We start from the raw sequence: 24,785 nt of genomic DNA, 5'->3' as shown, positions 1-24,785 counted from the left end.
TTCAGACATCAACTGTAAACCTACAAGAGCAAAATTACCTTCACAATTTAACAGATAAATGTCAGCTTCCAAGAAACAGAGATTCAAGTAAGAAATTTCCATCTTTAGAGACTTCAATTCAGTGAGACTTTCATACAACAGAGGTCGAAGACTGAGACAGTTCTGCCTCCTGGTATACATTTACTTAATCCTCTCACTTAAACTTCAAGTAAAAAAAGCAGCAGAATTTGGTTTAAAATATATATAAATGTACAAACAAAATGTGTATTTATGGCACATACCAGGACACACCACTTAACATTCACAATGTATAATATTTTATCAGTGATCATTAGCAAACCACACAAATAAAACCATTAACAAGACATAGAAATATCTGCCACCAAAGGATCCTTAGAATCAGGTTTTCAACAGTCTTTTGGCCACAGATGACAGCTCACAATTGCAGCCATTCATAAGAGTTCCTGGAATGCGGCCTACAGAGTTCACATTGGTTGGCTATCTATGGAAAGTGATCTGTACTGTGTTCCTTTTCCAAAAGGGCCAGTAATATTTTGCACCTCCTCTCATTTACAGGAGACTGTTAAGTGTGTACGTAGTTTAAACAAGTTTTGTAAAGTTCACTATAAAAGTAGCTACATATTTAAGGACTGTATTTTCAACCATCACATCCACGAGTTTACACAAAATCAATCTGAAGAGTCTCAACAACTGACCATAAACCTTTCTAATGAAAATGGCCAGAAAGATAAACTTTATGGTAATTAATAATGTAGAGTCAATAGGCAATGCTAATTGAGAACTTTTTGCATATACAACCATCAGCCTTTTAAAGGTGTGATAATATTAAGATGTATTACTATAAGGCCCGGTTCTTTAATTATAAATGATCTCAAAATTAAGCCAATATAGAACTTTGCATTAGGTAATGGAACCAAAATCTCAAGATAAGAGTTTTCAATGTATCAACCTAAACCACCTCAATCTTTTTGTTAATTTCCCATTTTCCTTTCTTTTCTCAAAGAAATAGACTGTTTACTAAAGTCCTAATTTTTTTTTAAAAAAAGCATATATCTTATTTACAAATATTTCCTTAGGATCTGAAATTTGTCAAACTACTTGCAAAGTTTAAATCACAATTAGTCAAGACCTCTCACTCCAGTTGGTTTTATTTCAAATTTGAAAACATGCAGATTTTAAGGCGGCAACCCAAAATCACATTAAAATTAAAATTTTCAGTTAAGATAGTAGTCTCCTCAAAAGTACTCATCTCAGTAATTTAAACATATGCCTGGAAAACTGTTATTTAATTTCAAACACAAAATTTTAAAATACCCTGTTCTTTTTTTTTTTTTTAACCAAAGCTTTCTATTAAAAAAAAAAAACACAAAACAAAAAACCCAACTATTTCTACCTAATGGATTTATTCCTTCACCAGGTATGTTGGACCAGTGACAAAACAGTCAAATGTGTAAGATTACATCTTGGAAACTAGCATGTCAAGTTAAAAACCAATGAAAGACTGTAACAAAAATCAGAAATGAACATTGGTAAGCAATGTAGATTTTAAATGATTGGGGCAAGGGAGGGAAGTGTCATGTTTAAAATAGGACTGTACATACATCAAAACCCCTGCACTGAATTAACTGTTGCAATTGGTAAGAACACTGATACAGTAGTATCTGTAGTTCAACCATTCACAAATTTGGAAATCAGAGTTTTCAGATTACCAACTCTTAATACAGTAAGAGGAAAAAATAAATGCATTTTTGATGTCATACCCTAAAGAATACATTTCAGTTTCCATCTATCAACAGAAGTCTCTGCTTCATGCCTTATCATCGTACTAAAGTTCTGAGGAATCTAAGTATGGATGCTGTAAACTGAGAGAGGTGTGCACAGAAGGGAAAATGTAATCTGCATTCTCGGGTGGAGGGGTGTGTGTGTGTATAGAAAGCGGGGTAGCTCAGGAAACCAGTCATCATTTCTTGAAGAGATATGGGCAGTATACAGGAACAGAGGAAAGCAAAAGGTTATTTGCCAACTTATCAGGAAAAAATTGGCTTGTGGCAGCTAGAAAAGTGAAGATGCCTGTTGATTATTACCAAAGGTGAAAAAATAAACTCAATCTGTGTTACAGGTGTGTCCCTGTGTGTGACAATGGGAGCAACTATAAAAGTAGAGGGATTTTTCTGAGTGGCTTGTGGAGTCAGTTTACTTAGTAGTCCCACACACACAAAATTTCTCAATGACTAGCTAGCTGAGCTCACTTATGGACACGTGGTATTCTCTAAGCGTTCTCAAGTGAAGAAAGACTCCCCATAAGCAAGTCACCTACAAAAAAAGATGAACTTTAAATTACAAAAAGCAGAGAAGATGAATGAATTTCAGTCAGTGAGTATTTTTCAAACCAACAGAAGTATATAACAAAAATACAAGGCTAATTAGAAATGGGAGGTTAAGAAATGTGAAGGAACTCAGAAGAAACCATAGGAAGAGAAAGCTTTAACATACATGTCATTGTATTCTTCCACATACTAATTATTCTGGAAATCCATAATATTAGTTTGTATCTTTTAAAAACACCTAAAATTAGCCTCTCGCTAAACAAAAACCCCAGCAAAGAAATGTCTAACTGTGAAATTCCTGAAACTTTTTCTATAATTTTTAAATATAATTTTAAAACATTGCAACAAGTCAGCTTTTAAAATTTTGCAATATGTATGTCAAATTTACATGTGACATCTCCTCAAAACCACAAAAATCCTCACTAAACCATAACCAAACATCAGCTGTTGTGGCACTGGTGTAGCAATACACTAATTCTTATTTAGGCCATTAAAAAAAGCATCCCTAAATACAGGGAGCCAATTATTAACATTTACACTTTTATTATAAAATTACTCTTAATTTCAAGAACTATAGCTTTCACTACAGTTAAAGGATCGATCTCAACCTCCCTTTCCTATAATAAATAGACTGATGGAAAGTAAGAATATCTTTCCAGTACATTTTTTGCTTAACAACAAAAAAATAGTATCTTAGAGAAGTCCCTGGGAAGACTCGTGACCTTGTACCTCCTTTAATCAAAAGGCTGAACTAAGTATGATCTTCAAAGCCGGATTTGACATTTCACCATTATGTCTCCAGCCTTTCCAGATACACTGGAGAAGATTCCTTACATAGATTTTTTTTTTCACTAGAGGACCTTCTGGTTTTCCAGAAAGGAAAACTTGTAGTATTATTATGTCTCAGCCTCAAAACTCACACTGACAAATCTCTCTGCCTTACGTGTTCAAGTGTGATTGATATGTAAGAAAAGGACAATTCTATGGGAGCATAACACACTAGCTACCACCATTAAATGGTAAGCATTAAGCTTAAATTCACCTTTTTTTGAGTAAACAATGTTGCATCCCTACCCATTTTAGTGCTTTTAAACAACGGTGACAAGACCAATTCGCTCATTACACCCTTTGACATCAGCATCAGCAATCTAAATCAATTTTACCAAAAACTAAATTTTGTATTTAAAAATGCTAAGGGCCTCCGTTGACAACAATCTCCCAAAGTTGCATCCTAAGCTACAATGTTGGCCAAGCATTTCTATCAAATATTTAAAATAGAGATTTCCATACCTGTCTTCATCACCATCAACAGGAATAGCTATGCTGAATACAGAGGTGGCCAGACTGTTCATAGGTGTTAACTGAAGGGGGTTTGCCAGGGAATCTGCAACAGGCGGCTTCACAACAGGCTTATTTTCAGCAATGAGAGAAAGTGGTGGTTGAGGTAGGGGTTCTGATTTTCTTCTAGTATCGTCGACTTGCCCGACTAAAGGCTGGGTCTGAGTTTGAAACTGGCTTAGGTCAGACTGTGGTAGACTTGTTGGTGCGCTGTGTGTGCCTGGCGCTAAGGGCAGCCCAACATGCTGGATTATGCTGCTGCTCCTGCTGACTGGCGTATGGCTGCTCAGCTGTTGCGACTGGGCCAGAGGCGCGGGTACATTTGGCATAGTAACAGAAGTGGTAGACACACTAGGCACGCTTGGAGCGGGCACGGCTGCAGGCACGTTTGGAACTCCGGGCACCACGGCGTGAGGGCCACCAGGTACGGCTGACAGCGGACCACTGCCACCCATCTGCGGCGGAGGCACGGACTGGGGCTGCCCAGCCCCGGCAGGACCGAGGCACGGCTGCACCACGCCTCCCACAGTAGCCGGGGGCACTCCAGTCGGCTGACAAGGCGCGACCTGCCCGCCTTGCGCTGGTCCCGTCCGGGGGGCCATGGCTTCGCTGGGCTGGGAAGACGCGCCCATGAGCTGCGCGCCCACCGAGGAAGCATTCTGGCCGGTGCCCACGGGAAGGGTGGCCGCCGTGGCGGGGCTCGCTGCGGCGCCGGTGGACGAGGGCTGCGCGGGGCTTGGCGGCTGCAGGCCGGCCACGTGCTGCTGCAGGTACTCACTCTGGCCGGAGGGCTGGACGGGCAGCAAATGTCCGGGCGGTATCTGAGGCTGAGGATACGCGAACTGCTGGGGCTGCTGCGCCGCGGGGGCGCCCACTGCAGGGCCCGGCTGCGGAGGCAGGGACATAGCCGGCTGCGCCAGGGTTACATTCGTCGGCGGCAGAGTCTGTCCCCCGGGCCCCGCTCCCTGGGGCTGGCTGGGCTGCGCGGCTGCCATCATTGGCTGCGGCCCGGTCGCGGCTCCCGGGAACGGCGGCAGCGGAGCCGAGCTTTGAGCCACAGCCCCACCTACGGGTGGCGGCGGCGGCTGTGGCTGCCCAACGCTAAAACTCTGCGGCTGGGCCGGAGTGGGCTGGCTCATTTTCTCCGACGGGGGTAGCTGTGACACAGCAGTCAAGGAGCTGTCAGTTCCCGACTCGGGCCCGTGCGCCCCCTGCATGGAGGCCACTACTACCACCACCGACCCTCCGGTGGCGCCCAGGCCGCTGTCCCGCTCCGCAGTCTGGTCAAAAGTACTGCTGTGTCTAATGCAATCCCCGGATCTAGTCAGGACGCTGCTGTCTGAATCCCTCTCATAGTATTCCATACACGTCCATCGGCCGCGTCTATAGGGCTCTCCGCTCCCGTGGTCCAGCTTGATCACGCGAAAACGGGAACTACATGTGGTGGGAGGCTGAGATGGGGCTGCAGTCACTGGCCCGGCGGATGAGCCCGCGAGCTGGGGGCCGCCGGGTGCTCCGGGGGCGGGGGCCGAAGTGGCAGCCGCCGCCAGGGTACTGGCGAGCGCCCCAGACACGCTCCGGGCCGAAACGACTCCTCCTCCGTTGGCGGGAGCAGCAGCCGCCGCTGCCAGCTGCCCATCTAGGAGGAGGTTTGGGGAGACGGTCCCGGGAGTCTCCGCATCCCCAACATTGTTAAGCGTCTCTTCGGAAGAGCTGCGCTCGCAGACCTCCTCAGGGCCATAATCCGTGGCCCGAGAGACGTCGAAAATCTCGGAGGAGACGTCCTCTGTGCGTGACTCGTCCGGGTCGTCCAAGCTCTCGGTGTCCTCGGTGATGCTAGTGGCCACCTGGGCCGTGGTGACACTGGTGATCTGGAAGCAGCTCTTCTTCTTGGCCGGCATCTTGGACATGGTGAAGAAGGCTGGAGGGCAGAGAGGCACGCCGGCTCCTCTGGGTCCTGTCGGAAACCGGGGAGGGCAGAGCACGGGCCCCCAAAGACAAAGTCCGAGTCTGCGCTGGGGTCTGAGGCCCGCCGCTGTTAAGAGTCACGGGCTGATCCAGGCGCTGGCCGCCCGGTGAGACATCCTCCTCCTCGTTTCCTTCTCTGTGTCGGTCTCTTCGGCTCTGCCCCCGTCTCAGTCCCGCGGCGGCTCCTCCTTCCTTTTTAGCTCTCGCAGCCGCGGCGCCTCAATTCAATTCCCTCAGAGGCGGCGAGAGCGCGAACCCAGGGGCGGGCCGGCTGCTTCCTCTCTCGTCTCCGGGCAGCCGTGGTCAGTCCAGCTCGGCGCTCGGCGCGGTCAGCAGGCCTTGGCTGGGGGTGGGAGTGGGAGGGCGAAGAGGAGGAGGAGGAGGCGGTGGCGGCGGCGTGAGGGGCGGTGCTGCCCCGCTCGGGCTCCTCAGGCCGGTGCCGGCGTCAGCGCTGGGCTCTCTGACTGAGGGAAGGAGCGGCGAGTCCGGAGTCGGAGATGCCTAATTCAGCCGGGAGCCGCGGGCCGGAGCTGGCTGAAGGTCCGCGGGCGGGCGGTGGGGCTGTGGCGCGGGCAGGCGGCCCTCCCTCCCCGGCTCTAGCCGGAGCTCAGCCCCAGGGACATGTCGACTGCCTCAGGCGGAAACCCGCTCTGGGGGAGGGGAAAGCCGGCTCGGTCCTCCCCTTACAGGGGGAACCACCCCTGCGGGCGGGCGGCGACGGCGGTCTCGGCCTCCCCTCGCGGCTTCTCTCAGAGAGGGGCGGCGGCGGCAGACCGCTGGCACGGGACCGGAGGCGCCCCGGCTGTGTGAGGTAGCGGTGGTGGCTTCTCCGGCTCCTCCTCGGTGCGCCCAATTCCTAAACCCCGAAGAAACTGAAATTCAAACTGCTGAAGCGGCGGCTGCAGCTCCCTCCGCTGGGCCAAGATGGGGCTGAAATGGCCGCGCCAGGGATGCTGGGAGGAGCAGCAGCCCCGCTGCCGCCGCCGCTGCCGACTAAAATGCCGCCGCTGCCGCAGCCACCGCCAGCGCCGCAGCCGCCGCCGTTCCGTGACGCACCGGCGTCGTGACGTCACCGCTCCGCCCCCTCCGGTTTCCTGCAGTTTCGCGTGGAACCTGGGGTGGGGGGCAATGGGCGGGGCTAAAGGTTAAAAAAGGGAGCGGTTTCTTTATTTAAAATTTTTAAAATTTAAATTTTGTGTTGTAGGTTCTTTAAGCATTGACGAGCTAAAGACCATTTTAAATTCTAAGCCTAGGGAAGCTTACAATGGAACTAATCAGATGTTTTTATGTCGGTTTGTTCCGAGACAGTGGAAGACTGGAGGTCATGTGCTTGTGTCTAATGTTTAGCAAAATCTTAGTGAAACGAGGGCGATAGGAATGGGGGCTGGGGAAGACTTAGATGGGATAAAAAGAGGTGCGGCTGGAAGAACTAAATCACTTTAAAACTTCTGAAAATAAATGTTGACCATTGTAGTCAGAGGAGTAAAATGTTCAGAGAAATGGGGATGATTAAACAAGAACGGCAAGCCAGATTGAGTCAGAAAATTATCTTCCTGCCAGAAATTCTGTCTCCCACAACGGCATCAGGGGGTGGTTACTTGCCCAGGGTGTAGTCAGTTTTTAAAAAGCTTAAGGGTTACCAACATATTCCTAAATTTCCTGAATTTGCTGTGATTCCAGGATTCATTTAAACTCTTGAGACTGTTTTACTTTCGGCACGAAATCAGCTCATGGGCTTTATAAATGTAGAACCTACTGCATTATAGTTCTTCTTTTTGTTTATTCTAAAACTGTTAGTAGCAGCCAGCGTATTATATGATTTGGATTGGGCCATGAACAACCGTAACGAGTGATAAAGCACCCTTTCCTGTTCCAATGCAAAGAACAACTATGAAAAGAAAGTACTGGCAAATTTATCATCTTGTAGTTAGTTCCTGGCCAAAGAAAATGGTAAGGCCATTCTTTTAAGCAGTTAAAAAAAAATGGGGATGGGCTCTTAAACTTTGGCATGCTAAGGCCATTCTTTTAAGCAGTTTAAAAAAATGGGGATGGGCTCCTAAACTTTGACATACTAAAGCAGTCGTCATTTAGGTAAAATCTAAGTCTTAATGGAAATCGTGATTTCATATCTACTGCAGCGTTAGCAATCACATAATGATAACTTAAATCAGTAAATCGTTGAACTCGGTTCTCTAATCTTTGAAGAATAGAAATACTTTTTATCCCAAAAGATGTTTTGAGAATTAAATTTGCAGAGAATTTTTTAGGTCTTTAGTTGTAATTTATAGAGCTAGGTCTTTTAACTTTAGTGGAAACCATGCCCTCCAAACCCAAGTGACTGGAGTCAGAATGTGAAATAAGACGACATAAAATCCCTATTTCTTAAGGGGCTGGGCGAAAGTAATGGAACAAAATGTAACGTTATGCTATTGTGGCAGAGATAGCTAATGGAATGTTTCATTTCTAAGTCTGTAATTTCAGTAATTGTTAGAGGCAGTTTTCCATCAATAAGTTAGATCAAATGGTTAAACCCAATATGAATTTATAAAAGCTTAATTTAATTTTGGATTGATTTACCAGATGTTTAAGGTGGTTATAATGGGTAGTGTTGATGGTGGTGCTTTTGGAAAAATGAGTATTATATGCCTGCTCATCCCTTTACATTATCTTATCATATAAACTTCTTGATTACTCGTTATGATACTCTTAAATCGTACATTTAGAGGAAAAATCTTAAAGTAATCTGTAAGACCATTTCTCCTTAAAATGATATATTATGAGATGAAAGGAAAGATAAAGATAATTTAGAAGAGATCCAGAAGTGGACTAAATTTCTGGTAAGGAGGGGGCTAAAGATGTTAAAAGACATCTTAGGAAAAGCATATGATTTATAACTTTTAAAAGTGTCATTTAGATGGTTAAGGATTTGTGTTTAATAGTTCTCTTGAAAATATTGTTTTCCAAAAGTTTAAAAGCCCTAGCTACTTTTATACATTTGCCCTTAAAAAATGTACAGAATTTATTACATCAAACTGCTACAAAGAAATAAGAATTCTGATTTTTGCAAGTAAGTTGGAAATCAACGTAGAGGACAAAAAGTGGCATAGCTATATCTAAACAAAAAAGTATGTAATTCAAAAGTTGGTCCACAAAGAATTGAAAGCCTTTCAATAACTAATTTAAATGATAGAAAGCAGTATGTATATGCAAGTACATATGCTCCCTGTATAGAGAGTGGTTAGTAAGTAAGATGGTAGCCTAACTCACTGGAATAAAGAGATCCTTGGAGTCCCAAACCTCAAGACTAGGAGTCTTAATGCAGTTACCAGGCTGCATGCCTGTACCCAGAGACCATACTAGAGGCTGTGGGAATCCTCGATTACTGCTCTTAGAGCCCCCAACTTGACTGTTTCTTCTGTACCTGGTACTTTTTTCAAATATTTCAAATTGCAGTGATGCATGGGAGATACATTTAGAAAACATAATGCAGGGGAATAAAAGCAGTTAAAAACTAAGGACAGTTTCTACTGATGAAAATAAAAAACTGCTACAGCAACATCTTTTCATCATCTGTAAACATCATACCCCCAAATTTTCCTAAGTTATTATCTAACCTCATCAGTAGCAGATGGTGAATTATTTCATAGAAAATCCTGGAATGTAAACTCTAGATACTCAAGAAAACCTCTTTTTTTTCAATGAAGGTATATTATATTTAAAATAATAATGATGCATTAAACATTATGGGATAAAGAAAATACTTTCCATAGAAATTAAGCAATGGCCTAGGCAAAGAGAAGTAACCCTTTAGCATTAATACTATCAGTTAGACAGTGACATTTATTGAACATTCCCTGTGTTGTGTATTAAGAATTGGACTACCTATATCCCAGTCAACAATTTTTTCTGGAGTTTAGAAATAGTTTATGCTTATTTTCTGTGTTTTTTATTACCAAATTGTTATTAGTTTGGTGCAAAAGTAATTGTGGTTTTTGTCACTTACATGATGGCAAAAACTGCAATTACTTTTGCACCAACCTAATAGAAAAATACAAAATGGAGAATAGTTTTCAGGTTCCACAAAGCATTTGCTGGAAATAAATATCAGTTGTCTAAATAAGTAGTACTTGATTTATTACTATGATTTTCGTAGGGTTCCATTTCTGGAACAATATCATATTAATAAACCCTTTCAGTGAGACCATTGTGTGGTATTGCCCAAAAAGGAAAAAAAAATGTAATGAGAAAGGACTAAGGCTAATAAAATTCCATAAATACTATTATAAAGAAAAGTATAATTTGACTGAGATGCACAAATGCTTACTTGATAATGAGGTGTTTTTAAGGAAACTTCTATTAAATACTCTTTTTGAGTTTAATATACTATGAAACAATGTTGTCTTTTTTTTTTTTTTAATGAAGATTTCCTTGACTTCCAAAGACCTTTGATGTTCAAGCAAAATGTAGCAATTTGGTAAAAGTAAAGGGTGCATTTCGAACTGAAATAAACATAATGTCCTATTAAGACCTGTATTATATTTTATGGAATTTAACTTAGAATGTAAGATATTAGCTCTGCGGTTTTACAAGCTTGTTTAAATTCTGCAATGTAGGGCAACAGAAAATCCAAACAAAATCCATTAATGACTATATTACTTCTTTATTTTTCTTTTTAAATATTATATGTGGCCAGTCAGGATGAAGTTTTTTTTAAACTACATTTCCTAGTTGGACAGATCAAGAGTAAGCTCCAGTTTTGCTATAATCTCGTTTTGTGATTGCTGACAAGTCTATTACTCCCTCAGTTCCCCTATCACTAAAAAGAAATAACATTGTGGTAAAGAGGTGTTAAACTACCAAATCCACTGAAAAAGTATGGAAAAAGGTCACAGATGTGGCAGCTTTGGCATCTTCAGAAGAAAAGATAGCAACTCAATGTGATACTATTGGCAATACCATTTGTTAATTGAAAAAAGAAGAAGAAAGCAGTTACTAGACATCCATGATTTTATGGAGAAGCCATATTCTGTCATAGATGAGCTATTTACAGACATTCAATGGCACATTCTTTGACAAAGTGAATCATCACTGTCTAGTCTTTCTTGTATATGAATTTGAAGTATTGATTAAAGTTGTAGCATACCTGTAATTTTAAACTGTAAAACTCTAACACTCACAAAAGAACATTGAAAGACTGCAAATTTCTAGACTTGGAGGTTATAATTCCTTCTGTATGTTACTACTATCAGCTTATAAAATTTTAAAAAATGTGAGTGTAGAAACTTATATAAACTGTATTCACACATGAAGGATAGCCTAAATGCTCCGGACTGATAATCTGAAGGTCATTCTCACCTGGCTGATTGAACTACTTTTATTCATAGAAGCCAAAGTTTTGAAAGGTACAGATAGAATCTTGACTACCTTGCATTCGCAGTTACGTTTTAATTGCAAAATAACAAGCTCTTTAGTCACTGGAAACAAAACACTTTTAGCATTTAACTTTATAATACTTGAAATCCTACCTTGAAAGCATTCATACTCATTAAAAGCTCAACACATGATCCATGTTTACATAAGGATTTGGGTGTTGCTTAAAATGATCATGTAATGAGCTGCTTCTCTGCAAATTAATATTCACTCCCTTCCCTCATCCTTAATGTGGGATCTTTGAAGGAAAAGGAAGTGACCAAACTAAAGACATAGGGAAATGCAAAATCAAGGTGAAAAGTTACCCAGAGGGTTGTTTTAATTTTGGCCATCAACCCCCTAGTGAATAATGGTAACAGTATTGTTTTGAGACCCATTTTGTGGCATTTACCTATTGTTAAACTAAATTGACTAGATGTAAATATATTTTCATCTTCAGATATTTAGAATTTCTATCCTTCCCCATTGTTTCTGGATTTTGATACTAATCTTTTTTCTTTGCATATTGTATATATTTACTCAACAACTAATCTAATTTTAGATTTTTAGCTTATCCACATTTCATTTTTGTTTATTTCATTGGTATTTCATCAATACAATGGCTCTACCCTTCAAGGAAAAAAAACATCAGCCCGTCCCACAAAAACACATATATTCAAGAAAGATAAATTACATTGTGATGATTCAATCATAGTAAGTATTCACCACTGAATTTCTTTAAGAATAACTACTGTGTTCAAAATAATTTTTGTACTAATATTTCATTTGAGATATTTTATTTCTGTGGAATAAAAAGATTTATCATAGTAACATCAAGCTTGTATCTTGAACAAACAGCTCCAAATATAATAATACAAGCTCTACTTCATGCATTCAACATGTATTTAGAAACCTGGCTGGGCACAGTGGCTTACACCTGTAATCCCAGCACTTTGGGAGGCCGAGGTGGGCAGATCACTTGAGGTCAGGAGTTTGAAACCACCCTGGTCAACATGGTGAAACCCTGTCTCTACTAAAAATACAAAAATTAGCTGGGCATGTTGGCAGGCGCCTGTAATCTCAGCTACTTGGGGGACTGAGGCACGAAAATCACTTGAACCTGGGAGGCAGAGATTGCAGTGAGCCAAGATCACACCACTGCACTCCAGTCTGGGTGACAGAACAAGACTCTGTAAGAAACCTACTGTGTTGACCTCTTTGTTGGACTTGGGGAAAATAGTTGTGAACCAGAAAAGAAAAGCAAAGTCCTTGTTCAAATAGGTCTTATATTTTAGTAGGGGAAACAACCACCAAAGAAATAAGCAAAAAAATATAATTTCAAATATTCATAAGTGTTAAGAAAAAAATGAAACAATAATGCAAGGTGGGAAAGGAGACAGTGTACCTTACTCAGATGTACTGTAGGTAGGCCTGAGGAAATGTTCTTTGAGCTAAGGACAAGCTCATCAGGGGAGCATTTGATTAAGGGAGACAGATGAGGCAATGGCTTTGTGCTGGAAACCAGTATGTGGTTGGAAGGGAGCAGGGGGCATCTGAGTAGTAGGCAAGGGCTAGATCATATGGACATTGTTGGCCACGTAAAGGCACAGATATTTTATTTTAAATGCATTGAGAAGCCACAGGCAGGTTATAAGCAGAGGATTAACATGATCTGATTTACATTTACAAGGAAACCTTTTTAAAAAATCTTAACCTCTAATAGTTTATAATATATTGTGTATTATGTTTAGAGAGATTTAAAAATAACTTATATGATCAAAGACAAGTTTCTTTTTGTAGGGCTGTACTATTTGTGTGATATCAAAATGGAAGAAATATTTAACAATCTATATGGCATTTCTTACAGAGACTTAATAACTTTGTTGCAAAATGACTAAATCTTTGTAAGAGAGAAATCTTTTTCTCCATGAAACCTTAACTTTAATTTAAGGGCAGTGATTTTGATATTTAAGAGAAGCTTGAAATGCCCCACTTAAAAAAAAAACAACTCTGGACAACAGTGAAAAAGAAGTCTTTTTGTTTAAATGTAATTATTAAATAAGTGTGACAAAAATAGAGCTAATTTTAGGGATGCTCAGGGCTGAGACTGCTTTTCTTCAGTGGATAAAAATATCCATAGGCAAATCTAGGGACACTTTAAATAATTCAAGTAGTCATAAAAGGGTCTCAGAGGAGGGGACCTCTTCTGGAAGAGGTAGGTGGAAAGGCCATGCATTTTGATATTGGTGGATTGCTTTTCATTTAGAAACTACTTTGTTTTCCTTATCCAGTACAATTGAACAGTAGATGATTTCTACTCTGTTTCACGGGCTATTTCTTTATTAGCAAGGTTACACTCTTGAGCACCTGTGGGGACAACTGGCCTGGGCACTTTCTTCGTATCTGCCTTTATCTTCTCTCAACTCAGGCCTGTATGTACAAAGGTTAAATTTGTTCCTACTCAGTTAAAATCTAAAGGAAGGCCACCATAGGCCATTACTTTCTCTAGAGCACGCAAAGGTAATCTGTTTTCCTAGTTGAACATGGGAGAAGAAACACCTAGATGTTTTATACCATAGGCTCCAATGTAAATGTGAATAGGTGATATAAATTCCAAGCAAAAAGAAGAAAGTTTGCTTATCTTATCCAATACTTTTGAAATATATTACTATTTGATGGCATTTGGCATTTTATAAGATATGATAAAAACTTAAGACTAAAAAAAGAAGGCCAGATGCGGTGGCTCATGCCTGTAATCCCAGCACTTTGGGAGGCTGAGGTAGGCGGATCACCTGAGGTCAGGAGTTCGAGACCAGCCTGGCCAACATGGTGAAACCCTGTCTCTGCTAAAAATACCAAAACTTAGCTGGGCATGGTGGCGGGCACCTGTAATCTCAGGTACATGGCAGGCTGAGGCAGAAGAATCGCTTGAACTTGGGAGGCAGAGGTTGCAGTGAGACAAGATTGTGCCATTGCACTCCAGCCTGGGCAACAAGAGAGAAACTCCATCTCAATAAAAAAAAAAGGATAGCATGCCAAAGTTATTGCGTAAATTCTTTAAAAGGGGTACACATGTGCTCGTGTTGCATTTTTGTTAAATATCATCCTAAAACTTAGATTATTTTACAACTTAATTATAAAGCTTACGAATCCTGATCATATTGCTTTAAAATAGCACCTTGTTATGGGTAGAAAAATATTACCCAAACTTTATAGCCCACCTTATTAATGAACTTTGCTTCTAGTTGACTTATTTTATTTATTTATTTATTTATTTATTTTGGTGACAGAGTTTTGCTCTGTCTCCCAGGCCGGAGTGCAGTGGCGCGATCTCAGCTCACTGCAACCTCTGCCTTCTGGGTTCAAGGGATTCTCTTGCCTCAGCCTCCCGAGTAGCTGGGATTACAGGCACATGCCACCATACCTGACTAATTTTTTGTATTTTTAGTAGAGACAGGGTTTCACCATTTCGGCTAGTCTGGTCTCAAACTCCTGACCTTCTAGTTGACTTCTGTTTTCAAAAGTCAAAATCATTTTGAAGATGAACATTTGTCATTTGTTGAAAATTTTTAAAAATGTTAAATATGTTAGAATATCAAGTAAAAAAAATTAAAATTATATCATGCCTTTTAAAAATTACATGTATGCATAGTAAAAGAATTTGGGAGAAATACATTGGAACTTTAATAATGGCTATCTCTAAGGGATGAGGTAATAGGCTTTTTTTTTTGCTTTATATATTTTTTTCAAAATTTCTGCAATGATCACAAATCATTTTTATTTAAATATATTACTTTTATATATTTAAAAAATGTACCCACAGACTCCAGACTAAGCCAAAAATAACTTTGTAAGGGTGTATTAACAACAGCCAAGATTATAGTTTTAGCTGTTGTGATAGATGATAGTTCATAAATGCTATCCAAAGATAAATTGTCCCTTGGGAATAGTATATATTTGAATGCCCTCAAAGATAATATTAGAAATAATTGGTGCCTTTTCAGTTGAATCAAACTAATGCAGAGCAACTTTTAAGAGTCAATTTATGAAATACAAGAGGATTTTAGAACAGAATTACAAGGACAGAAAGGACAGAAAAATAATTAAAATATTAGAAGCAAAGTTGAAAGAGAGTGGGACGTCAGGAACTTTTGTTCTGTTACAGTCTCTGCAGCATTGTGTCTAGTTGTGTGTCCCTGAACAGGTCATAATTTCGATGGGCCTCAGTTTCTTTAACTGTAAAATAAGAGTTGACTGAACAGATGACTATTTTCAGTGCCAAGACTTTATGAATCTAAATTCCCCAAACAAATTTGGATTCTTGGTTTTACGTGCAGCAGTCAATATATAAATGGGTCCAGAAGATGTCTTTGCTTCAGCTTTGGTAACACTCAAGTGTGCTGGTTATTGCCTGATTTCCTCTTCTCTATCATTTTCCTGCTCTTCTCTGCACTCTTGCATTCCAGGAATGGGATGTTCTGGCTCTCATTACCAGGGATCCCCTTGTCTTCCCTGGGTTTAGCCAATGAGAACTGCTGGCAGGAGGTCAGAGGGTAGTAGAAAAAAGAATTTGGGTTATTTCTTTCCCCCTCCCTTTGAGCTAGCCTGAGATTCTGGTGGTGATGGCATTCCTCTACAACTGCGTACCCTGTCAGATACCCGCCCATGGCTCTAACTTTCACTGGGCTGCTTCAGATCCAGCTGTGGTGATGGCATCCCAATGTACTAGCCCCTGAATGCCTCAGCATTCCTTGTTTGGCCTCTTAACTCTGCCCACATTTCTGTAATTGTTCTTTACATTAGTTTGTACTCAAAATCTCCTTGGAACTGTGCCTTCAGTTTCCTGCTAGGACAAGGTGAATACATCCAAGTCATTTCTATTTTTCTGATTCCTACAACTTTGCTCAAATTCATTGTTTCCTGTCATACTCAGAATAAGAGTCAAGTCTTAACAATAACCTACAAGATTTGTGCTGTGCTCACCCTACTCCAGCCACAATGATCTCCTTGCTATTCTTATAGCCTACCAATGTACCCTCCTGCCTCAGGACTTTTGCACTTACTATAGTTTCTCCTTATTCCCTAAGCTGTTTGCATGGCTAATTCCCTTATCTTCAGGTCTTGGCCCAAATGTCACCTTTTCAGTGAGGACTTCCCTGACTACACTATTTAAAACAGCAAGCCTCCACCTCCCATCCCTCTTTTTGCTTGATTTTTCTCTAGCACACTTATAACCTTCTAATATACTACATTATTTACTTATTTTGTTTGTTGTCTCTCTTCCCATACTGAAGTGGATTATTCCAAGAGGGAGAGGGTTTTCATCTGTCTTGTTCATTCTTATATTCTCAGAGTGAATAATACAGCCTGGCACATACTGGATTCTAAGTAAATATTATGTAAATAAATGTTCCATTTTTACAACATGCTACAACAATTTTATTCAATATTTATGAAAGTAAAGTAATAAACATGCTGAAAAACATGGAACATTGGTAAAGTGGGAAATTCCCTGCAATGACAGATACTTTTGGAACATGTCTTTTTTTTATTGTTTTTGAGATGGAGTTTCGCTCTTGTTGCCCAGGCTGGAGTGCAATGGTGTGATCTCGGCTCACCACAACCTCCACCTCCCAGGTTCAAGCGATTCTCCTACCTCAGCCTCCCGAGCAGCTGGGATTACAGGCATGCACCACCACACCTGGCTAATTTTTGTACTTCTGGTAGAGATGGGGTTTCTCCATGTTGGTCAGGCTGGTCTCGAACTCCCGACTTCAGGTGATCTGCCCACCTCCACCTCCCAAAGTGCTGGGATCACAGGTGTGAGCCACCGCGCCTGGCCAAAACATGTCTTTTATAAAGGGGATAAAAGAGAGATACTATTTTACTTACAAGATAAAAGTTTCTTTACCTTTTTATTGATGCATTTTATTTGTTGCAAAATTTTCAGAAAATATGCAAGGTATGTATTGGATCATATGTTGAAGTCCTTGAGAAAATACCTTATTTAGTATTTAGAAAGTATAAGATTAAAATCTTGATCAAGAGTACGCATTACTTTGACACTAGCTATTCTTAATCGTATTTAATTCAAGGCACATTGACATATTTTAAATATTTGGTATAATGGCTAAAATAACATTTCCTTTGCATAGAAAAATCTAAAAAATATAGACACTGTAAGGGTAAAAACTTCTTATTTAGTTTTTTAAATGTAGGTCTATAGATATGTCACTGTAGTAACAAAGTATTAGGAAAAGCTCTATTTTGAATTCATAGAGTCTAAATGCTATTGATTAATAATGAATACTTAGATTTTTTAAATGTCTTTTATAGACTCATTGGGCTTTGTTTTCTTCATCTGTTTGGTTTGGCTGCTCTCATTTACATACTTGCTCTCATTAGGGTTTGAATTTCAGAGCTGGCCTCACTCTGCGATGAGAACAAATGTCTTGCCATGTGATACTAACTTTCCATTACATGCTGAAGCATTTGCAGTCCCAGAGGCAAAGAATTTATGGTTGGTACATGAGAGATAGAACCATCACATAAAAGAAGCCAAATTTGCAATCATATTTTTCCTTAGTGCTAATATAGTTTCGGGATAATGAGAACTCAGAATAATCAGCTAATGACCAGAAATGAATCATTATTAAAACACTGTTTTTCTGGCATAAAATAGCTAATGTTTCTAGTTGGTTGATAATTTTCTTAGCAACCATGGTATTTGGCACGTCCTAAACCACTTTTCACTAGAAGCCTTCAGACCCCACTGAAGCAGTTCATTATACTCTGAAACAGTTCTGAGAATCAGGGAGAATAATATACAAGTTTTGCTGATATTCTATAGCTGTATAGCCAGTATCCTGTAGCAAATACTTAAAATTTCCTACAAGATTTCTCAGTAATTCTCCAGCCAAGTAGGAAATTAAGTAGATGCAGCAGAAGAGATTAAAAAGTATTGGAAGTCGATCCCCAAGTTAGAGTTTGGTCAGAATTTCAAGCTTGTTTTATTGTTTTTTAAAAAGTAAATAAACAAGTTGTTTTATACTTTAATAATAGGGTCACCATTAATATAACATTTACATGGCATCATATTTCCAAGGGATTCTGTATATGTCCCAGCTTCTTGTTATTACTGACTATGCTCTGTGAGATTTTTTGGCGGCATGTATTACTTTGGTTTTGGCCAGAAAGTCAAAGGAAAAGAGTATTGAGAATAGCAGCCAATAACTATGAAAACTCATCACAGATTTATTCATATATCTGGTCATACCCTGCACACATATAGCACTGTATGGTTGTCAAACTCTTGGCATGCATGATATCATTTGATCTTTATAACCCTATATCTGTGTGACCTTGAGCAAATCACTCAGCCCATGGCTGTGACTCCTGTTTGGAAGCTGGGTTTAATAGATACCCTCTCCTAAGTCTATAGGAATGCTTCAGAATTAATAATAGAGTAGTTCAATGCATTGTGAACTTTGTAAAAGAAAGGTATTATTATAAATGCAAAATTATTTTATTCACCTAGCTTGGGACACTAAAATTTAGGGAGACTAAGTGAGTTGGCTCTAAGTGTTTAACCACATTGGTCCCAGGAAACACACAGAACCATGGATTAAAAGGTTGATGTTTTCTAGTTTAGATAAGAAGCATGAGATTTTATCATAAAGGGCAAAATACTGCTCATAAGTAGAGAATATTGTTTTCTAAAGAATATAACCAAATATTCATTCTGAACCATGAACTCACTAATTTAATTTAAATGTGTCAAACAGTATGATTTTATTAGTTATTGATCAATATTCAGGCTACATGTAACAATGGATGACAACCAGTTTTCTTGAAAAGATATCCAATTTGGAGGCAATTAATCCCAGAATTATTATGAATTACATAAACTGAGAAGATAAATTGGTAATATTTCTGATCAAAATAATATTTTCCAAATACATATATTTTCTGAGTAATATTGTATAAACAATAAAGTGGTCAACCTTGTCACTAATGTTTCATATAGCTCACATATTAGAATAAAACCTACTTAAGAACATCAGATATTTGATAAGATGTGTCAGTTTCAATTAAGCTAGGTTTTGCACCAGCCTAATAAATAAAGAACAATAATTCAGAAGCTAGGAAATGTAATTTCATTGAAAGATGGAAAGGAATAAGTATCTAGCATGAGCCAGGCAGTGTGGTAAATACATTTTAAATGTGACTTTATTTAATCTCTACAACAGCTCTGTAGGATAAACATTATTATCTCTAATTTAGAGATAAAGAAATCGAACCTTCAAGAGATTGAGGGCTTCCTCAAGAGTTTGTAAATCAGAGCCATAGTTGACCTGGATCTGAGTGATACCCAGGTATATGTTCTCTCCATTACTCCATTTTATAATTTAGGAACCACCAGATCAGATGTTCCCAAATTTGTGAAGAGGAACTACATTCTGGTTTTTTGTTTTGTTTTGAAACCTCATATTGGTGGAGGGAGGGGCCAGGAGAAAGAGGTTGAACCTGATGTGGATGAATGTGAGGATAAGGGCCCCTGATAGTGAGGGGCTACAGGCATGCGCCAGCAGGGCCGGCTAATTATTTTTTTTAAAGCTCTTGTAGAGATGCAGTTCCTCACTTTGTTGTCCCAGGTTGGTCTCAAACTCCTGGGTTCAAGCAATCCTCCTGCCTTGGCTGCCCAAAATGCTGGGATTACAGGTGTGAGGTTCTTCACAGGGGAATGAAGTGAGCAGAAAGTAGCTGCTTGCCAAGTGAAAGAAGCAATGGACCAATATAGGCTTTGAGGTGCACTTGTAAGCTGGTGTGTTGGGAACTGCCGACGTGGTTAGATGATGCTCTCTGATGGTCTTTCTGTTATATTAAGGAGTAGAGATTTTTAAATATTAGATAATTTTATGTTTCTATTGCTAAATTGGGGTTGAGGGGGATGTTGGTCTGTCATTCTATTTCACTTCAAATGAAGATGCATTTTTATCTGGAACGTATGTGGAACTGTCTTGGAATTTGACTCTGCCGGGTCAGATTATGTCCACACAGCATACAAGCAAATTCCCAGGATACCAGGTTGCTGTTTGAGGTTGGCTGCTGCTAATTCCTCTCCTAGAGAAGAGGACACTCTAGTTCTAGCCCCAGCTCTGCAACTGGCAGATCACCTCAGCTCTCTGGGCCTCTGTTCTTCCTCCTCTGAAAAATAAGGAGGCTGAACTAGACAATTCCTAGGCCTCACTTTCAGTCCTTCTGTTCTGCAGTTCCATGAGAAACAGAAAGCACAGCTTATCCTTTAAGCCCTCTAAAAGGCAAAAAAAAAAAAAAACTAAAACAATTATCTTCCATGGTAAAACTGTCTGCTATATACATTTTAATGTTCCAAAGGATTAAAGTCCATCAATCTTGTAGACTTGTTGGGAAACAAGTCGGTTGGCATTTTCATAGACTTTTTATTTCACCGTGTTTTAGCATTATTAGAAAATTTTTCTGTAGAGGAAAATTTTGCTAGGAGTTAATTCAATTTTTTTTTACATCTGATTTTGAAATTTAAAGTAAATCACTTGTTTTGAGTATCTTATGTAGACGCTTTTTAAGCCACAAATAATTTTGTCAAACTTCGCAAAAGTACACTCTGCCCTCAGAAGTTATTTTAGGTACAAATTACTTGTTATGTTAAATTGAATAGATGAAAATTTAAATGCTGTAATATTTAAGTTATTCCAACATATACACTTTGATGATGAATACATGCTAACTGGAAACATTTTACTGTAGTCTTACTTTATGCTTTTCTACTAATAATGTTCATAAATTCATGAATGGGTGGATAATCTTGGCAAGAAAATGAAAAGGCTTTTAATTGTGTAAAAATATGGATTTGTCTTCTTCTGGAGTTGTTGCTTGCTCAGCAGACACGTGTTGAGTCCTGCTAACTTGACAAGCACTGCACCACTTGCTGAGATTACAAAGATAAGTAAGATATGCTCTGTGGCTCTGGAAAATCAAAAGCTAGTAGAAGATGCCTGTAGTTCATCTGGAAAAAGAGAGCTTATAAAGTTTTTTCTACAATATGACCTCATTTGAACATATGGGGTGCAGTTATTATTTTCCTTATTTTACACAGGAAACTGAGTCTCATGGAGGTTAAGTTATAATGCTCAACTTGTTATTACTTGCCCAGTATCTGTTGTCCCTTAAACAAGGACTGGGACCATGTCTATCTTTTTCATTCTGTAGTTCCAGTACCTAGCACAGTACCTGGCACATAATAGGTGTTCCATTTGAGCACCTATTTGATGGATTAATAAATCCATCAAACATATTTGATGGATAATATCTCCAACAAATATTGGATCATAGGAAAGCATTACTAGCATTAGTCTTCTTACTCTTGAAGTAAGTACTCTTTCACTATGCCTTGCTGCCTCTGTAATTATAAACCTGTTTAGTATTAACAGGATGAATGCTTGTGGTATGGAAAAAGAGCTATATATGCTGCCTAATTTTTTAAATAAGGAAAGAGATTGCCTTTGAAAGGTAGAGGCTGAACACCCTTGGAAAAACAATAGGATAAATCCCCCAGAACTCAGACATCTTGATACTCAACCACAAAACATTCTTTTCTTTATGAAGAAATAATTTGGTCATATGTGTCAAGCTTTCTCATTATTTAGTGGTTTGGAATCATTTTAAATTGGCCATTAGAAGTAATGGCAGCAGGTTTGAGGGTCTAGAAGTATTATATATTGTGTACTTTATCAGTAATTTTTATGATATTTATGAAGCTCAGTATGGCTGATGTTAAGAGACAGGGTTATTAGCACTTCAGAACATAAGAATGGAATTTAAAATGACCTTAGAAAAATTGAGAGGTGTTGATCCTAAATAGGAACACATGTGGGGAGAAAAGACAAATGCACTGTAACTGCAGTATGCAACTGTGTCAGGGAGGAATTTAGAAGACCAAATTCAGAATCACAAAGTATTAATAATTCTTGTATTACATTCTTCAGACTATTACTGGAATACTATGGTCAGTCTCAGTCCCACCAGTTTAAGAGATTTGTAACAAATTGTATGAGATTTAGAGAATATAGAAAATAATTAAAGGTTAGAAATTTAGGAATGTGAAAACATAGAAAATAAGTTGAATTTTAGTCATGTAAGGTCTCAAAATATTTTACCTCTCATGTTTTCATTCTCAGAAGCTACTCAAGGATGTGCTCCACCAAAATGAGGATATGAAGCCAATATAAAGGAAGGCAATGAATACAAGAGACAGGCAAAGGGAGTTCCCAGGACATAAGCAAGGGACGTCCCAGGTAGCAAGTGTGCACCTGGTGTCCAGGGCCATCTGTCCAGGTAATGCATGTTATAAGGTGTAAGGGGAGATATTTTTCAGGAGGGTAAAAATAAAAGAATTCCTGATGCATCTGAATATTTTAAGAAAAAGGGCATGGTAACACATGCCTGTAATCCCAGTTAATTGAGAGGCTGAGGCAGGAAAGTGGCTTGAGCCTGGAAGTTCTAGGCTGCAGTACACTATGATCATGCTTTTGAATAGCCACTGCACTCTAGCCTGGGCATCATAGCAAGACCCCCATCTCAAAAGAAAGAAGGAGAGAAAGAAAAATAAAGAAAAATGGAAAGAGAAAGAAGGAAGGAAGGAAAGAGGAAGAAAGAGAGAAAGAAAAGAAAGAAAAAATGTTAAGCATTTGATGGAGAGTTTGGGGTTAAATTAGTGATATACACAGAGAATATTTGCTAAAACCAACAAAAACCAACTCCAGGGAAGCAAAAGTTTTGGCCAAAACAAAAAGAAGAATTATATATACTACAGAGCTTCACTATAACTAACATAAATACTAAGTATTAATCTAATCAAAATTTTGATGTAAAGATAGTAAGTAGATGAAAAGATGGGAAGGGTGGATGTGTGGGATGGGGTGGGAGAGGGTGGTGAAAGAAAGCTGTGCCCTTGTATTTCACAGTGAGAAGTCACGGAAAATGCCTACACTTGAAAAATCAAATTAGTAACATAAGCAAATATAGCATTAAAAAGTTGTGGAAGTAAACATCAAAACTACCAACCAACAAATTAATCAAACGAACAAAACAAAATTGCTGAAAACATTGAATGTGGCCGCCTTTGGAGTGGAGAGAAATATATTGAGAGGAGGTACAAGGGACCATTATTTTTTATATCAAACCTTATTTAAAGCTTATTTAAACCATGAGCTTGTATAACTTTGGTTAAGGCAAACAAAAATAAATTAAATTATTTAACTACATAAAATATATTTAAGGACCTAATAATCACCAAAAGTAAGGAAATTTGTTTTGTCTCAGGGTGATGACAACTGCTTGTTGTATTTACAAACTCAAGATTTTGGTTTAGTGGTAAGTTCTAGTAAGGATTGTTGTATGGGAGTTTCTAAACAGATGAGTCATTCCCTTTCCTGGAGCTATGGGGGGACTAGCAGTCAACACTCAATAGCCTGGCATGGTTTAGGTGCAGTTATAGAGTAAGGTTGTGTGCATTTCCCTGTCTCATTTGGGTTCCTTATAATTCTGTAGGCCTCCAGCAGTGGTGTGGTGTGAAGACAAAGCACTGGATTTGTAGACACACAGACCCCAAGTCAAATGCCAGCTCAATCATATGCTATTTATGTGACCTCAGAAAGTGACCCAACCCCTCTGAATCTTAATTTCCTCATCGTAAAATGGGGCCATGTGATATCCACCTCATGTGCTAAGCCATTAAATGAACTTACGTTTATAAAGTATCTGGCAGATGCTAAAAAAATATCAGTTCCTTCCTATCCGAAGTAGTGAATCTCCTCACGGATTCAGAGCAGTAATCATTTGAATCATATGATGATAATGTATATTCATCTCTAATGCAATCAGGTAGGGAATTAAGATACATATTTAAATATCTTCTTGTTTTAACTTTTACATGATATAAAATAATCAGTTTTCCTATCCTAGAAAGATAGGCTTTAAAGATAATTTATTTAGTCCAATTAGATAGCTATTTTGATGTCCTGTAGACACAACTTGAATGCTTATGTGTCACATATGGCCTAGTACCATGAGAAGACTTCAGGAACGCTCAAGACCTGTAGGTGATGGAATAGTCAAAACATGCCCCATCCAACCAGTCTCCCAAATTGCTACATAACCCCTTGAGACCCTGTGAATCATAGTTTATAAGCAACTATTCATAGATTTAGGCATTTTCCCCAGGGTGTTATTTATATGAGGCTGCTAATGATCAACTTTAATATGTGTATATATTTTCTTTGCTAAGTATTAACTCTAACACCTGACTCACAAAAGTGGAGGGAGGGGGGAAGGAAAAATCCACTAAGTTAGAGAGGCCAGAGAGACCCCTTGCAGAGAGAGGATGGCAAAGAAAGTCAACCTTTGAAGAAAGGCCTCCCTAAGGAACAAGGACCATGTGGTCCTCTGATCCTCTGTAATCTAAGTGCCAAGACTTGGTGCCAAGAATAAATGATCCTGGTTGATGAAGAGCAATCTGCCACTTCTAAGCTTTGATCAAAGCTCAGAAAACCATCTCTGTGCTGCTGCTTCTCACATCTGCTCACATTTTAACAGTTTAGTGCCTATAACAGGAAGTGCCTATTTTCACATTGAAATTCTTTCATTCAGTAGAAATATTTTTGTTTTAAATAATTTAAAAATATA

General features: G+C 39.4%; 1 protein-coding gene across 6 annotated transcripts in view, besides 6 other annotated features; it reads right to left on the bottom strand.

Annotated features, from left to right (window-relative positions):
* TSC22D2 (TSC22 domain family member 2) overlaps positions 1-6,649 on the bottom strand; it is a 58,125-nt gene extending 51,476 nt beyond the window's left edge. For all 6 annotated transcript variants that reach the window (NR_130136.2, XR_007095779.1, XR_007095780.1 and 3 more), the window contains exon 1: positions 3,639-6,649. Coding sequence is in view for 3 of the 6 variants with exons in the window: in NM_014779.4 (NP_055594.1) it covers positions 3,639-5,596 (1,958 nt within the window). In the remaining 3 variants the exon portion in view is untranslated. The remainder of the gene's footprint in view (positions 1-3,638) is intronic.
* Positions 3,953-4,832: an enhancer, noted in NCBI's record as "H3K27ac hESC enhancer chr3:150127902-150128781 (GRCh37/hg19 assembly coordinates)". NCBI's record gives its function as "activates a minimal SCP1, AML or CMV promoter by ChIP-STARR-seq in primed H9 embryonic stem cells {active_cell/tissue: H9 hESC(primed)}" and the evidence as "EXISTENCE:reporter gene assay evidence [ECO:0000049][PMID:30033119]".
* Positions 3,953-4,858: a biological region, named in NCBI's record as "H3K27ac hESC enhancer GRCh37_chr3:150127902-150128781".
* Positions 4,579-4,858: a silencer, noted in NCBI's record as "silent region_14816". NCBI's record gives its function as "represses an Ori minimal core promoter by ATAC-STARR-seq in GM12878 lymphoblastoid cells {active_cell/tissue: GM12878}" and the evidence as "EXISTENCE:reporter gene assay evidence [ECO:0000049][PMID:35858748]".
* Positions 5,119-5,288: a silencer, noted in NCBI's record as "silent region_14815". NCBI's record gives its function as "represses an Ori minimal core promoter by ATAC-STARR-seq in GM12878 lymphoblastoid cells {active_cell/tissue: GM12878}" and the evidence as "EXISTENCE:reporter gene assay evidence [ECO:0000049][PMID:35858748]".
* Positions 5,539-5,588: an enhancer, noted in NCBI's record as "active region_20686". NCBI's record gives its function as "activates an Ori minimal core promoter by ATAC-STARR-seq in GM12878 lymphoblastoid cells {active_cell/tissue: GM12878}" and the evidence as "EXISTENCE:reporter gene assay evidence [ECO:0000049][PMID:35858748]".
* Positions 5,959-6,558: a silencer, noted in NCBI's record as "silent region_14814". NCBI's record gives its function as "represses an Ori minimal core promoter by ATAC-STARR-seq in GM12878 lymphoblastoid cells {active_cell/tissue: GM12878}" and the evidence as "EXISTENCE:reporter gene assay evidence [ECO:0000049][PMID:35858748]".

Source organism: Homo sapiens, chromosome 3 (assembly GCF_000001405.40).
Source record: "Homo sapiens chromosome 3, GRCh38.p14 Primary Assembly".
NCBI classification, from domain to species: domain Eukaryota; kingdom Metazoa; phylum Chordata; class Mammalia; order Primates; family Hominidae; genus Homo; species Homo sapiens.
The sequence above is the reverse complement of the archived record's forward strand: the minus strand, read 5'-3'. Positions and strand labels throughout refer to the sequence as shown.